We start from the raw sequence: 16,357 nt of genomic DNA, 5'->3' as shown, positions 1-16,357 counted from the left end.
AATCTGCCATCTTGGAACTGGATCCTCCTGCCCCAGGCAAGCCTGGTACTGCAGCCCTGGATGACAACTTCACTACCATCTCATTTGAGACCCTGAGCCACACTATCCAGCTAGCCACTACCAGATTCCTGACACTGAAAAATTGTGTGTGAAATAATAAATGTCTGTTGTTTGAAGCCTCTAAGTTTTGGAGTAATTTGTTACTCAGCAATAGATATAACTAATGTACTATGCTTAACTCAGGTATGGTGATTCTTTTCAAATAATTATAGAAATCACTGTTTTCCAAAACCCACTTCTTTTGAATAGGATACCTTGACTCCAACTCAGTGACTACAAAGAACTGCAAACAGGTGTGAAAACAAGCAATAGGTCATCTCTGGTAAGTTTTCTGACCTCATGATAAATTAACTGACTGATGATAATCACAATGAAATACCTTAATGTTGTTGAGGTTGACTTCTTGCAAGCTAGGATCATTGGCTTTCATCTGCTGCAGGCTTATTTCCACATTTGTGGGATTTGGTGGTTCCTCAAATACTGGCTTTACTTTTTCACCTTTGACAACATCTAAAACACAAGTTTTCATTTTAAAAAATGCAAAGTCTCTCCTATCAAAATCAGTGGTGACTTCCCAAAAAATGACATTTCTTTCATATGCTGATTCCAATAACACTTTAATAGCAATGACAGTAGGTGTATTCTCAGCTAAGCAAGCATGGGAGTGGTATAGCTATGAGTCACAGCTTGGAAGGCTGGTGTTTCTCAACTGCAATGAGAATTCCCTGGGGCTAACACTGCATGGACCCAAAGTTCAGGAGACCCTGCAGCAAACTCCAACTTTCAAAATATCCATGGGCCGTTATTGCTGCTCCATATGGACATCTGTCAGACTATACTAACTAGACTACAGGATCTGAGATACAAATCAGACACCACAATAAGTCTTCATTTCCCAAACTTTAATACCCCTCTGGCCTCTTGATTATACCCTACCCTCCTCTGAGTTCTATTCTGGAGCTTTAGTTTTAAGGAAGGTATGGGGAGAGAAAGGGATAAAAAAGAAGAATGGAAGAATTCTCAAAAATAGTTAACAGAGATACAAAGGATTAATATCCCAATATACACAGAGCTCCTACAAATCAATAAGGTGACCCAATTAAAAATGAACCAATAATACGCTCAGAAGAATCTGTCACTCAACCAAAAAATATAAAAAGTAACTAAGCTCCAAAATAAAGAAATGAGATACCATTTCATTAGCAAACAAGTGTGAAACGAGGTAACATTTGGAGTTGGCAACAATGTGGAGAAAAAAGCATCTTCGTACTCCTCTATAAGTGGGAATGTGATCTGATGCAAATGTTTTGGGAGAGTAATTTGGCATTATCTATTGCAATTTAAGATGTGCATGTTCTATGACCCAGCAATTCTATATCTAGAAGTCTTACCTACAAAAATAGCACAGATACATAAAGATATATATTCAAGGGTGTTCCCTGTTCCCTGAAATATTACTTGTGACAGCAAAACATGATAAACAAAATGTCCACCAATATGAAAATGGGTAAATAAAGTATAGCATCATCACGTAACAACTTATTGTCTATTCGTTAAAAGAATCTATTCAGGAGCCAGGCATGGTGGCTCACACCTATAATCCCAGCACTTTGGGGGACTGAAGCAAGAGAGTTTCTTGAGGCAGGGAGTTTGAGACCAGGCTGGGCAACACAGTGAGACCCAGCCTCTACAATAAATTTTAAAAATTAGCCAGGTGTAATGGTTCATGCCTGTAGTCCTAGCTGCTCAGGGGACTGAGGTGGGAGAATCCCTTGATCCCAGGAGTTTGAGGCTGCAGTGAGCCTTGGTAGTGACACTGGATTTCAGCCTGGGCAACAGAATGAGACCCTGTCTCAAAAAAAAAAAAGTATCTTCATTATCTATCCATTAAAAAAGTTATCTACTCATTTTGGGAGGCCGAGGTGGGCAGATCACAAGGTCAGGAGATCGAGACCATCCTGGCTAACAGGATGAAATCCCGTCTCTACTAAAAACACACAAAAAAATTAGCCGGGCGTGGTGGTGGGTGCCTGTAGTCCCAGCTGCTGGGGAGGCTGAGGCAGAAGAATGGCATGAACCCGGGAGGCAGAGCTTGCAGTGAGCTGAGATCGTGCCACTGCACTCCAGCCTGGGCAACAGAGCGAGACTCTGTCTCAAAAAAAAAAAAAGTTATCTACTCATTAAAAGAATGAAGGAAACCTGTAAGTACTGATAAGAGGCCACAATTAGAAGACAAGTTAATATTTGTATGTGTACGTATAAACGTCCAGAAGGTTATGCACCAGATTGTTAATAGGAAACATTGTCAGAACGTTACCCTTTGATGCTGAAGCTAAAAAGGATGAGCATTTTTTATCCATATGCATAACAAGAAAGGCCAGACTAAGCAACATAGCAAGATCCTGTCTCTACAAAATAAAAATAAAAATAATTAACTGAGTGTGGTGGCATGCACCTGTAGTCCCAGCTACTCAGAAGGCTGAGTGGAAGGATTGCTTGAGTCCAGGAGCTGGAGGCTGCAATAAGTTATGATTGCACCATTGCACTCCAGCCTGGGCAACAGAGCAAGCCTCTATCTCAAAAAAATAAAAGGAATATTGCTCATTGTGTGTCTAAATTACCACTATAAATAATATTTCATATATATGCTACTGAGATTAGAAAGCATCTCCCAAGTCTCTATTAAAGTGAATAAAATAAAATTAACCTAAGAAAAGCTGTAATCCTAAAAATTAGTTGGGTGTGGTGGCACATGCCTGTAGTCCCAGCTACTCAAGAGGCTGAGGCAGGAGAATCGCTTGAACCCAGGAGGTGGAGGTTGCAGTGAGCCGAGATTGTGCCACTGCACTCCAGCCTGGGTGACAGAGCAAGACTCTGTCTCAAGAAAAAAAAAAAAAAAAAAAAAAAAAAGCTGTAATTTTCTATGAGTTTTCAAAGCACATGGATCACACTGTACTGACATGATCTGGTTATTGGTCCTTCCTTACCCTGGACAGATAAATTCCCTTGGGCAGGGACCATTTTCTTTCTTTCTTTTTTTTTTTTTAATTTTTAATTTTTTATTATTATTATACTTTAAGTTTTAGGGTACATGTGCACATTGTGCAAGTTAGTTACATATGTATACATGTGTCATGCTGGTGTGCTGCACCCATTAACTCGTCATTTAGCATTAGGTATATCGCCTAATGCTATCCCTCCCCCCTCCCCCCACCCCACAACAGTCCCCAGAGTGTGATGTTCCCCTTCCTGTGTCCATGTGTTCTCATTGTTCAATTCCCATCTATGAGTGAGAAGATGCGGTGTTGGTTTTTTGTCCTTGAGATAGTTTACTGAGAATGATGATTTCCAGTTTCATCCATGTCCCTACAAAGGACATTAACTCATCATTTTTTATGGCTGCATAGTATTCCATGGTGTATATGTGCCACATTTTCTTAATCCAGTCTATCATTGTTGGACATTTGGCTTGGTTCCAAGTCTTTGCTATTGTGAATAGTGCCGCAATAAACATACGTGTGCATGTGTCTTTATAGCAGCATGATTTATAGTCCTTTGGGTATATACCCAGTAATGGGATGGCTGGGTCAAATGGTATTTCTAGTTCTAGATCCCTGAGGAATCGCCACACTGACTTCCACAATGGTTGAACTAGTTTATAGTCCCACCAACAGTGTAAAAGTGTTCCTATTTCTCCACATCCTCTCCAGCACCTGTTGTTTCCTTGCATCCAAGGGATGAAGCCCACTTGATCATGGTGGATAAGCTTTTTGATGTGCTGCTGGATTCGGTTTGCCAGTATTTTATTGAGGATTTTTGCATCAATGTTCATCAAGGATATTGGTCTAAAATTCTCTTTTTTGGTTGTGGGGCAGGGACCATTTTCATCTTTGTACCTAAGCCTAGAACATTCCTGACACATAGTAGGTATTTAGTGGATGACTGATGAATGAATGAATAAAAAAGTCTAATTAATTGTACACGTCTATAGGAAACGTTGACATAGAAGATAGTGGTGTGGAATGTCCTGTGCACGTAAGTCCATGCCAGCGTGTCTTTCATGCCCTCTGAGGGAAGTGGACATTCAAATTCTAATGACAAGCATCTATTATTGAGACAAAAAGACACTCAAATAGAGAAGGGAACTTATTTAAGCTACTATAGTTGATTAAAACATCCTCAGGAACATGAAACGCTGCATTTTGTGATGACCAAGCAGTCTTATATCAGCAATTTTTTTTCATGAATATGGATTATACCATTTAATGCAGACCCATATATCAACAATTTCATCTTCTGACTAAACAGACCTACCAAGAAAGTGTTCTGGGCAACACACACTGATTTGTACTAGTTTCACCGCCAGATGGAGCTCTCATTGTCAGCTGCTCTGTTCTGGTTTGATTGCTCAAAGCCCAAGTGATCCTAGCAAAATGACAGAGTGTAAAGCCTGCAAGACTCAACAGGCCTCTCTCCTACCAGCAACTCTGGAGGCTCCAAAGCTTTACAAAACCACAGATTGCACATCAACTTACTTCTGACAGGTCCTTTGCCACCTTTATTGTTGGCTGTTTCTTCATCGAACTTTGGATTGTTGAGCAAATTGTGTACTCCAAGGACAGCTAAAAACAGTCAACAAATGAGCATTAAGTTTGGAGAAGCACATTAGGATGTCCACATTGTTAATTTGTCCCTTGAAGAACAATTCTTTACATCATAAAGATAAGTCCCTGAGTCCTCTTTCCTTGCACAGTGTGTGGTACATGTATAGCGTTAAATACACTTACAAAAACCTCCTTTCAAGACCACCAGAAATCTTCCTGTCTTTCTACGTCTCCACATGTAGAATCATTTAGGATCTGAGGAACAGTGGCTAATTATGGCCACAATTTACCGAAAATCTGCCTAGACCTCCTAGTTAAATAGGAAAACCTTTCAGTTTTCTCATCTGTAAAATGAGAAGGTGGGACTGAGACTAAGGGTTTTTAAGATCTAACATTATATAGATTACTGCATATATTTTTCCAGAGGCCTCTTTCAATGTCAGCCTCCTCATCTCTTAGTACCAAATATAATTGTCTCTAGAGCATGCCAGGGTGGGGAAAAAAAAGCAACATCAGCAAAGAAAAGGTCAGCTAAGCGTACTGATTTTCGGCTTCCTGTATTACACAGAACTTGCACCAGGAGGCAGCACAGAATGCAGGAAACAACACTGGGGAAGAATGAATGCGGGGCTGACTGAACCTGCAACTGCTACGCAGATTTCCCTTTGCTAATGAAATTCCAGGTGATACTGGCCACCTGAAGAAGGATCCCAGAAGGGATAATAATCTGTTGACAGGTGGCAGAGGAGTGCCTCTGAGATGCTTATCAGCTCTACTGTAAGCTACATATTGAAGGAGGGAGGCAGCTGGCACAGCACAAGAAAGGGCAAATGGTCAGAGCTAGCAAGGACCCGGTGAAGAGGGGGACTTGGGAGCAGTCAAGAATCCTGACTCTGACCACGTTAAACTGTGTGACTTGGGAAGTTGTTAAATGCCCGAGTCTCCGTTTCCTCATCTGTAAAACAGGGATAATAATTATACTTTATTACCAAGATTAAATGACTTTCTATGTGTCAGGCACTATTCTAAATGCTTTACAAATTCTTGTTAAATAAATAAGAATTTGCCACTGTGGGCCGGGTGCGATGGCTCATGCCTGTAATTTCAGCACTTTGGGAGGCAGAGGTGGGCGGATCACGAGGTCAAGAAATCGAGACCATCCTGGCCAACATGGCGAAGCCCCGTCTCTACAAAAAATAGAAAAATTAGCTGGGCGTGGTGGCGGGCACCTGTAATCCCAGCTACTTGGGAGGCTGAGGCAGAAGAATCGCTTGAACTCCGGAGGTGGAGGTTGCAGTGAGCCGAGATTGTGCCACTGTACTCCAGCCTGGGTGACAGAGTGAGACTCCGTCTCAAAAAAAAAAAAAAAAAAAAAAAAAGGAAAAAGAATTTGTCACTGTGTCTCTGTGAAGGGGACAGGAGAAGGAGAAGGTGTCCCATTTGATAAACACTGAGGCCATACAACAAACATATCTTCTTGCTCTGGCCCTATGCTCACCAAGTAACTTCTAATTATAATTTGGCTCCCATTGCCAGGTTTTCATTTTTATCTGTTATCTGTGAAATGGGCTAATGGATCAGTTCCCACCACTTTGCTCCAATCTGACTGCTTCTATATATACTGATAAGATCAAATTTCCAGTCCAGAGCTCCCACAGTTTAGGGCTGGGAACTAGACTCTGGATGGTGACCACACTGACACCCAGCCAGTGTAAGAGGTGCTGTTTTGCAGGTCAACTACCACTCCCTTGAAGAACTTTCTGTCTGCTCTCTATCTGCCACAATAACATGGGCAATATGCCGACACTCTTTCTTATCTAAAACTCAATGGCTGCCAGCTCATCTGCCCATGGGGCTGCCTTCAATCTTCCAGAAGGGCCCACCCTAAAGATGCTGCCAACAGCCCCAGCCAGGCTTCCTTCTGAATTCCTAGGGAACACAGGACGAGGGAGGGAAGCTGAGTAAGGATGAACGAGGACAGTTTTCTATTTGGATTCTCTCTCTGGTTTTACTGTATGAATTTCAGGATCTAGTATCTTCCAAATAATTGGTGTTTTTCTCTTTTTCCTTTCTCAAGGCATTACCTGGGAATTCAAGTTCAGCCCTGCATTCTCCCTCTGGGCAATTCTGGTAGAGACCATGAGGCAACCCCTGGGAGGAGCAGTAGCCATAACAGGATCCCTCCACAGCAACCCCAGGGCTAAGACCAGTGGGTGCAAAACACCTTCTTTACCAGGTGACGCCATCGCCTCAACTCCTGCAGTGGTCAATATGGTCAATATTAAGTTCACAAACATGGGAACTTCCTGACATCATCACAGAAGGAATGAAAATGCAGTTGGGGTGGCTGGTACATTTTAGAATAAGGCTGGTTCTCCTGGGAGGAAAGAGGTTATTATTCTATGTCTTCCAATGGAATAAAAATTCTTGCTAAAGCTGTGGACTGGTTTTTAAAGCACCTCTATCCTGTGGTCATCTAATAACCCTGTGTATGTAGAAGGAAGATCTAATATATAAATCTACTGGTAGATGCAGAAAATCTTTCTTGAAGGCTGTACAAGACATGGGAGTGGGCCTAGGTAATTCAGGTCGAGAGACTTACTTTTCATTACACATTCTTTTGTACTCTTTGACCTTTTTCTATCTGCATTTTAAATAATAATAATTATTATCATGTTGCTATTGTTAAGACTAGAAGGCTAATGGACTTCTTAGCGTTTTCTGAATCAAAATGGAACAATGACTGTGGGAAGAACAAGAACTTTATAGAAATGTTGTGATGATAAAATGCCAAATGTGAAAGCTCCTTAGAAAGCAAAAGAGCTGTTGTTTTATTCTCTAAATTCTCAACACTCCTTCATACTTGTTTGCTTTAATTTCTCACAGTAACTCTTGAGTTTTGTGAGATGGGTATTATTTGCTGCTGAAATAGAGCAAAATAACATTTGCTCAGAGAGTTTAAGTCACCTGCATCAAGACTTACAGCTCCATAATGCCTTGTGTCAACCTGTCATTCTCCTACCTAAGAGAAGCTCAAAGCCTGCTGCCATGGGTGCCAGTGCATGCTCGGAGGTCATAGAGCCAGACAGGAAAGTTCCCAGAGTTCAGGACTAACCTGCAAGATCATAGAGTTCGGTGTCAGAGGCACTGGCCAAAGCTTCTTCCAGTTCTGGGTCAAGGGTCACTTTTTCTTCTTTACGAGTTTCTATAGGCTTTTCTTTAGGGATAAAGACTCTCCCTTTAAATCAGAAGAAAAACAAAAATATTGAGTACTACTGCCTTATTGGTAGGGTAAGTAGACTGAGCAGAGAATGCAGTTCTGGCCATTGAGACCCATATAATTAAGCCAGTTCATATCCAACCGAGATTCCTGGATTGCCAGGATGGTACCAACATCAATAAGTCACTGTCAGAGGGAAGGAACACTGGAGGAGGAATCCTGCATTCTGCCACACAGAGATCTGAGACTACAGTCCTTAAACACAGAGGGAAATGGTGGCTTCTACCCCTCTTATTGGCAGTACTGCCCTTGGGTCTGGGCAGGAGAGGCCCTGCCCTGAGTCGTGCACTTTAGAGAACCCCATACTAGTCTTCCTGTGGCTGTACCTCTCCCCTCCAGGGGAGGAACCATGAGGCCAAAGGGATATGCCCATCCAGCATATAGGCCACTTTCTATACCACACTTCAGGTACCTAGGACCCTGGAATGCCTTGCCCAAAGAGCCCTGAGCCTGCCTCTAGAGCCTCCACAAGCCCCTTCCCATGTCTATCCTCCAGAAGGCAGGTCATGCTGCTGGGTGTGTACCCTCAGGTCAAGGGGAGGCTATTTGTGGGGGAGCCTGGATGAAGCTTGGATATGTGGGCTTGGGTGTCCAACATGTGTGTTTGAGGCCCTGGCAGTGTGGGACAGATCAATATCCCTGCATGGAACTCTTGGAAGTCCAAGAATACTGGCCTCCTAGGTATATCTAAAGGAGGATACAACATATTTTAATGATTTGTTAGCTTTTAAATATTTGGAAAATGTGGCATGTGGGCTTCTATTTGTATACTTGCCTTGGACCCTGCAAATATTAGGAGCAGGTTCATCTAAACAGCACTAGGGGTTCCTGAGTAACAAACTGGTGATCCCCTGGAGCGCTCCCTCTAAATTGGGAATGCAGACAACTAGCATGCCATATCTGGGGCCAGGTGGGCTAGTGTAGTGACCTGGGGACATAGCCACCTCTCTAGAGTCTCCAAAGCAGGCATGATTGTAAGGAAAAATCAGGGTCACTATACTCGGAGCTAGTGGGGTTCTGTGAGCAGCAAGGCATTCTGTGCTTCCCACAGATGCATCCTCTGCCACCATCTCCCATTTCATCCTATCAGCAAGATTCCATTTATTTTGTCCCCTGCTCACTTCTGAAAATGCTGATATCTATTCCCTAACTCCCAGCTCAAACTTCTGGACTGATGAAATAACATTGCCATACCCAGGAGGATGGCACAGTTCCTGCTCCTAACTTCGAGCCAGGCCAACACATCCACATCCCACACGTGCACCAGGGACATTCTAGAGCCATGATCAAAACACCCCAGAGCATTCATATTCCTTTCTAATTATTCCCAGCTTTTGACTCTTTGTTTCTCTCTTTTTTGAAGCTGCTCTGACTTTTGGGGCACAGTCTTTGAAATTGTTCTCTTCCATTTTGATCTGTAGAGTTCCCTAAAGGCTCATCTCACTCCAGTTTCCGCCCATTGGGACCCAAGTTCTCTCCAGGTCTCCTTCGCTAGCCTGGTTTATCCCACTCCTATGGGAAAGGAAAGGGTCCAACCCAAAGTCAATAACCCTCCTGCATGAGAACTCTCCAGGAGACTTCCCTGATTACAAGGTCTGTGTATTTCCTGTTTTACCATATTGTTAAATGGCTGGATAAGCAAACAGGAGTGTGTCAGAGCTGGGCACTCCAAACACAGGAAAGAAAGGCACTGCTTGTCGTCAGTCTGGGGCATCCTGGCAACAAGGTCATTATCACTGACATGCATCCTACTTCCTGCCTTGGAATCACTTTAGCTGCCACATTTCTCAGAAAGAAGGAAAATACACTGGGAAACAAATTAGGAGGATGGCCAGAAGATAGAAAATGGAAAAAGAAATCAACTAATCAATAACATCTCAAATACTGGGGCTCATCTCAGACTTAACATTCCTAGCGTCTATGGCCTGAAACATTTTCTTTCTGGCCAAGATGATCTTAGGTCTAGAGTCAAAATAAGATTTCTTTCTTTCTTTCTTTGTTTTTAAAGACAGGGTCTCACTCCGTCACCCAGGCTGGAGTGCAGTGGTGCAATCATAACTCACTGTAACCTTGACCTTCTGGGCTCAAGTAATCCTCCTGCCTTGGCCTCCCAAAGTGCTGGGATTAGAGGCATGCCCAACCTAATATAGGATTTTCTAAGTTCCTCTTTCCTGGTACTAAACACGAAGTACACAACTATTGGTATTCAGGAGAACTGCTGATGCAGATCCATTCCTGGAGGTCCAACCAAATAACAAGTTCTAAGCAAAACTCTGCACCAGAGTAAAATGTAGCCCAGGAACCTGAGGTGTGCCAGCACATAGTGTTCAGAACTGTGGTTGTGCAGCCTCTCTTGAGGACCTCATAGTAGCCTCCCGCTGCTCCTGGATGGTTCACTGGTCCTTCTGGGGCCCCTGCATACTCTTCGCTCTGCTCTGCTGCTCTGATTAGAAAACTTGCTCCCTGCTCACTTTATTCAGTTGTGCTACTTCTCAACCTTCTCCTAAGCTACACTATGCAACTGTATACCCCTTTTATATCACTATTACTCAGACAGCTCCTACGTTCCTAACTCCCCCACCAACCATCTGGAGATTAATCTTGATCATGAGATAATTTACCATAGCCACTCCTCAGACCTCTACACTAAGAACAAAAGATAACAGCTTTCAACTTATTATGCTGTCACTACTTGATGTTAATTGGGACTTCATTGAAGATTTGACATTATAATTTTTTTCACAATTAAATTAGTCCAACAGCAACTATGTTGCTATAGAAACAGATCCATATTTTCACAGCAATCCTTGATTATTTGCCTGGTTTGTCACTGTTCACTATTATTTATTTATTTATTATTTTTTTGGAGACAGGATCCACTTTATCACCCAGGCTGGAGTGCAGTGGCAGGATCATAGCTCATGGCAATCCTGAACTCCTGGGTTCATGGGATCCTTCCACCTCAGCCTCCCAAAGTGCTGGGATTACAGGTGTGAGCCATTGCATGTGGCCCAATTTTACTTTCTTAATGACATTCTCAATGATGTGTGATCCACTGAATGTGCACAATACAGAGGGCAGCCTCGGCATTATGTGAGACAAGGCAGTAGCACTCTGCCTCATGCCAACTAGGAGCTGGATGCTCCTGCTCCTACTGCTGCAGTACAGATTTCTGAGATGCCATTCACTGGAACCCATGTTTATCAAGTGCCTCCCATGCCAGTTGCTGTGCCAGGATAAAAAAAAGACCCTATCACATGAAAACATGCAAAAACCAAAGTAAGTAAAGTGATGAACATTGTTACAGTGCTGTGAAAGCAATAAGCAGCTGTCATGATAGAGAGAAGAGAGGTCAGAGAAAGCCCGAGGCCCTGAAATTTAAGCTGAGACCCTTAGGATGTGAAAAATGGGGACATGCGTCAGAAGGAAGAGTACATGAGAAGACCAGCCTGAGAGAGGAAAAGAACTCAGCAGGTTCAGGGGAGTGAATGAAGACAGTGGGGGCTGAGGATTAGCAAGGGAAGGCCAGATGCAGGTAGAGAGCTGGATGGAGGCTATATCTACTTTAAAGACCACAGTAAGGATTTGAGACTTTAAGAAGGGAAATGCCAAGATTTGGTTTGTTTGTTTATTTATTTTGAGACAGGGTTCCACTCTGTTGCCCAAGCTGTAGTGCAGTGGCATGATCACGGCTCACTGCAGCTTTGACCTCCTGGGTTCAAGCAATCCTCCCATATCAGCTCCTAAGTAACTGGGAACACGGGTGCACCATCATGCTTGGCTAATTTTTGTATTTTTTTAGAGATGGGGTTTTGCCATGTTTCCCAGGCTGGTCTTGAACTCCTTGGCTCAAGTGATCCTCCTGCCTCAGCCTCCCAAAGTGCAGAAATTACAGGTGTGAGCCACTGCGCCCAGCCGACATGATCTGATTTGTATTATAAAAAGATTGTAGTTGCTGTGAGGTTATCAATAATTCCATTAGAATCTTTGAGCTCAAGTCACTGTCTATAGCTGGGGAAGCTGGACAGGCTATTGATAGTCACTCTTCCTCCCAAGGGGAGCACAGGGTCGGGAGCTAAGGAGGAGGGTTTCCTATTCTTGGCTCAGAGCTCAATCCTGGCATGGAAAAACAACTCCTTGCTTCTCACAGCCTTCCTAGCTCTGTCATCCTGTTTCTCTCACTACAAGCTCCTTGAGGGCAGGGCAGGGTCTTATTTGCCTGTGGTTCTAGCATCTGGCCACAAGCCTCTGCACAGAGGAGGCACTCAGTAGATGATGGATGCATGAATGACTGCACTAGACTTTAATGGTAGCCTCTAAGGTTAGGGATGCAGTGCTAGAGCCATCCTGGACATGGAGCAGAAGGCCTTGAGGGACTTCTGAAGTTGGTAAAGCACCAGGCTAAGAGAAATACACCAGTGCCTAGGAAACTCTCAGGCATGACACCACCTCACATTTTCAAAACTTTCTTTGGGGTTCGAGATGTTTTCACTAAACTAATTTGAGAACCATCACACCATAAGCAGTTAGCCTACATATTTGATCGTGTTTCTTTTTTCTTTCAATGTACTCTCCCCAACTCATCCTCCCCTGACTAATGGCATCCTATACCATAGCGATACTTATACTACAACTGATGAACCATCATGGACACATCATTATCACCCAATGTCCACAGTTTCCATTAGGGTTCACTCTTGGTGTTACACATCTTATGGGTTTGGCCCAATGTAGAATGACATATGTCTAGCTAGCAGCCATGATTCTTTTTAACACCGACTCCAGTTCATGGGCTTATTTCCCATTTCCGGGACAGTTCCCTTGCTTGACCCTCCACGACAATAAAATAAATACTGAATCCAGTTCATGGGCTTATTTCCCATTTCCGGGACAGTTCCCTTGCTTGACCCTCCACGACAATAAAATAAATACTGAATCTAGTTCATGGGCTTATTTCCCATTTCCCAGACAGTTCCCTTGCTTGACCCTCCACGACAATAAAATAAATACTGAATCCAGTTCATGGGCTTATTTCCCATTTCCCGGACAGTTCCCTTGCTTGACCCTCCACGACAATAAAATAAATACTGAATCCAATTCATGGGCTTATTTCCCATGTCTGGGACAGTTCCCTTGCTTGATCCTCCACGACAATAAAATAAAAAGAGGTAATCTTAATTAAGAGTGCCTCCGTTCCAAAAAAAAAAAAGAGAGAACCTCTGTTCCAAGATGCTCTGCCTGTGGTCCTTACCTTTCTTTTCTCCAGTGAAGGGCACAAAGTCCTCTCTGTCTTTCTGTTCCAAAGCCTCCTTCTCCAGGTACATGAGGAGGTGCTCGCGGTCAAAGGGGCCGGTGGCTGCCTTCTGTGTCTGGTCTTTCTGTCGAAATCCAGCTGGCAGCATGGCACTCTGACAAGAAAGAGGTGTGAGCAGGAAGGAAGATGTCTGCCGGCCTGTACTTTGCTACTTCCTCTTCCACCCCCACTCACTATGTGCTGGGGAAGCAGGAAGGATACCTACGCAGAATGTGCGTGTGAGCTGAGGGCTGGGGGCTCTGGGACGCCTCTGAGGCCCTATTTGTTATAATGTTCAGTGCTGAGAGGGGGCTCCCAATGAGCTCAAGCAGCGCATAGATGGCTAGAGCAGCCTCTGAGTTTCTGAAGCTGCCTCCTAAAACATGGAGGCAAAAGACCTCTTTCCTTGTAGATCATGCTTAGGTTTGGCTAGGGCTGCACCCAAGGTGCTCCCAGGCAGAAACATGAGACTCTAACAAGGAGCTGACATGGGGAACCCCTCTCCTGCAGAAGCAGTAAAGCTGATAAGTAAACACTATGATGATGTTAATGCCTGCTTGATAAAGCTTTCAGATTCCTTCCTTAATTTAAAAAAACAACAACAGAATATCTGTATTTTTAAAAGTAAATACCATATCCAAAGTATCTGACATATCAGAATACCATATACATAATTTTGTTTTAGTTATATTTTTATTTATGGTAAAATCACTATTTTGGATGGCTCCGATTTTTTTTTTTTAACCGTAATTGACTTTTTATTTAAAAAATTACACGGAGCAATTTCCAGCATATCTTTTTTTATAAAAGTACTGCTAATTCTAAGTTTAAGATCATACCAGCAGGTCTGAAGAAAGTGCTTGCTAATCAAACAATATAACAAGCGACTTAGCTTTTCAAGAACTTATAAAAACATTAGAAACTCCATTGAAATGAACTTGGTATCATGATTATAGTCAGTCTAATCTATTCTTTGTTATAAGTTCATCAAAGAGTTCACATTATTTGTGCATTTGAAAGAAATGAGATATTTTTAAAAATCTGCGTTTGGGGCCGGGTGTGGTGGCTTAGGCCTATAATCCCAGTACTTTGGGAGGCTGAGGTGGGCAGATCACCTGAGGTCAGGAATTCGAGACCAACATGGCCAACCTGGCGAAACCCCGTCTCTACTAAAAATATAAAAATCAGCCAGGCATGGTGGCATGTGTCTATAATTTCAGCTACCTGGGAGGCTGAGGTAGGAGAATCGCTTGAATCTGGGAGGCAGAGGTTGCAGTGAGCCGAGATCTTGCCACGGCACTCCAGCCTGGGTGACAGAGTGAGACTGTCTCAAAAAAAAAAAAAATTCTGCATTTGGGCCTAAAAACCTGGTTTAAATACCATCTCTGACACTTACCAGTGTGGAATCTTATATAAATTACCTCTCCATGTCTAGGGGTTAATAAAGTTTACCTCAAGGGCTTCTGTGCCCAGAGAAATATATGACTCAGAAAAAACTCAGTAAGATTTGCTCTCTTTTCCTCTTTCCTTCTTTTTCCCCTAAACAAGACTAGTCCTTTCTCAACCAACGGAAAATATTTCCCCCCATTTACATTGGGCTGGTTTTTGAGAAATACATTTGCTGTATCACACTGTAGTGGCTATGAGGTTCTCTATGAATTTGTAAACACAGGTGACCCAGAACCAATCAGAGGAAGAAAAGAAAATGTGCATTCCGAGCTAAGGGATTTCTACCATTGTTTAAGGACCAAGCCATGCCATTTATCCATACTATCATTAACCACTCTGCTTCAGTTCCATGTCACTAACCTCAGGATCTAGGTCATCTAGAACATTTTCCAACTGTTTCAGTTCCTCTTCTGAGAGTTTGCCAAGAAGCTCATCTTCATCAATGTTCTTGTATTTCTCCAGCTCTTTTTGAAAGGGGAGTGCCATGGCTTCTTATAAGCCTTTCTCATGGGCCATGCACATTTAAATGGTCCAGTTTCCTGAGACTTCAGAATACTGTTAATAAAAAAGAAACACAATAAAAAAGAATCTCCGTTCTGTAAACAGGACTTATTAACAGGAGACAGAAGTATGCCTCCAATGGAGCCTACTGTATTGAATGAATAATTCAACAAAAAGGTAATATTCCCTTCATTTGCAGAGCAACCTGACAGCTTACAAAGTGTTTTCACATATTTCACTTATTTTGATCTTTACAACAATCCTGTGAGGAAGCCCGTGACGATATTATCATTCCCATTTTATAGATGACAATTCTGAGGTGAAAGTGGCCTAGTGCCTTGCTCGAGGTCACAGAGCTGGGATGCGTGAGCCCCGCCTTCTGATTCCCAGCATAGTGGGTGCTTTTCCCTTATACTACTCTGCCTTCCCTGGCTCTCCATAGAAAAACAGGGGAGAACAATGCACTAATTGTAAGGCAGTTGTAAGAAGCATACTTGTGTCTTTTCAGGGAGAGAGTGATGTGAAGAATACAAAATGGGATTCATTCAGGAACGAGAGTTTGGAACGTCTATGTGAGAAAGCATTGTCCAGTAACTCCCCTGCAATTAAACTAAGTGCGATTCTAAAATCCTGGCCACATGATCACTCTCTCTATTTTTCTCCTTGCTTTGTTTTCCATTCTATTTCTAGTCCCATTTCCTTTTTGTTCTACGTATTCATTCTTTATACCCTCAGACCGTTCTTCTCTCGACCCTTATTTTTTATACCACCTCACTTCTAAATATTCACCCAAAATGCAATTTTTACTCAATCCCTTTCTCCTTGCAGAGGATTCTACAGATCTTCCTTAGAAAGATAATACTCATTCAGGAAACAGTAATGTACTTCACTGACTGTGTTTCTCCTTAGGAGGTATTACCACCAATCACATCTTTCAGGCCAATAAATATTTGTTATATACCTACTATTTGCCAGGCATAGTTCTAGCAAACAGAAATACAAAGATAAACAAGATATGCCACCTTTCCCCAAGAAGATCACAGCTTAGTGAGACAGGCACACAAATAGCAATAATGTCATAAGTATTAGACGTAACGTATAAAGTAGGTTTAAAAACACATGAGGAGGCCAGGAACGTTGGCTCACGCCTGTAATCCCAGCACTTTGGAA

At 42.7% G+C, this 16,357-nt stretch overlaps 1 protein-coding gene across 2 annotated transcripts in view; it reads right to left on the bottom strand.

Moving 5' to 3' along the window:
* Positions 1 to 16,357, bottom strand: part of TMOD2 (tropomodulin 2) — a 64,767-nt gene that overhangs the window by 34,750 nt on the left and 13,660 nt on the right. For both annotated transcript variants that reach the window (NM_014548.4, NM_001142885.2), the window contains exons 2-6: positions 15,047 to 15,241; positions 13,196 to 13,352; positions 7,780 to 7,902; positions 4,596 to 4,682; positions 440 to 570 (exon numbers count right to left, since the gene is read on the bottom strand). In NM_014548.4, coding sequence (NP_055363.1) covers positions 440 to 570; positions 4,596 to 4,682; positions 7,780 to 7,902; positions 13,196 to 13,352; positions 15,047 to 15,172 — 624 coding nt within the window. In that variant the 5' untranslated portion in view covers positions 15,173 to 15,241. The remainder of the gene's footprint in view (positions 1 to 439; positions 571 to 4,595; positions 4,683 to 7,779; positions 7,903 to 13,195; positions 13,353 to 15,046; positions 15,242 to 16,357) is intronic.

This window comes from Homo sapiens, chromosome 15 (genome assembly GCF_000001405.40).
Source record: "Homo sapiens chromosome 15, GRCh38.p14 Primary Assembly".
NCBI classification, from domain to species: domain Eukaryota; kingdom Metazoa; phylum Chordata; class Mammalia; order Primates; family Hominidae; genus Homo; species Homo sapiens.
Note: the sequence above shows the minus strand (reverse complement) of the source record. Positions and strands in the feature narration are given on the sequence as shown.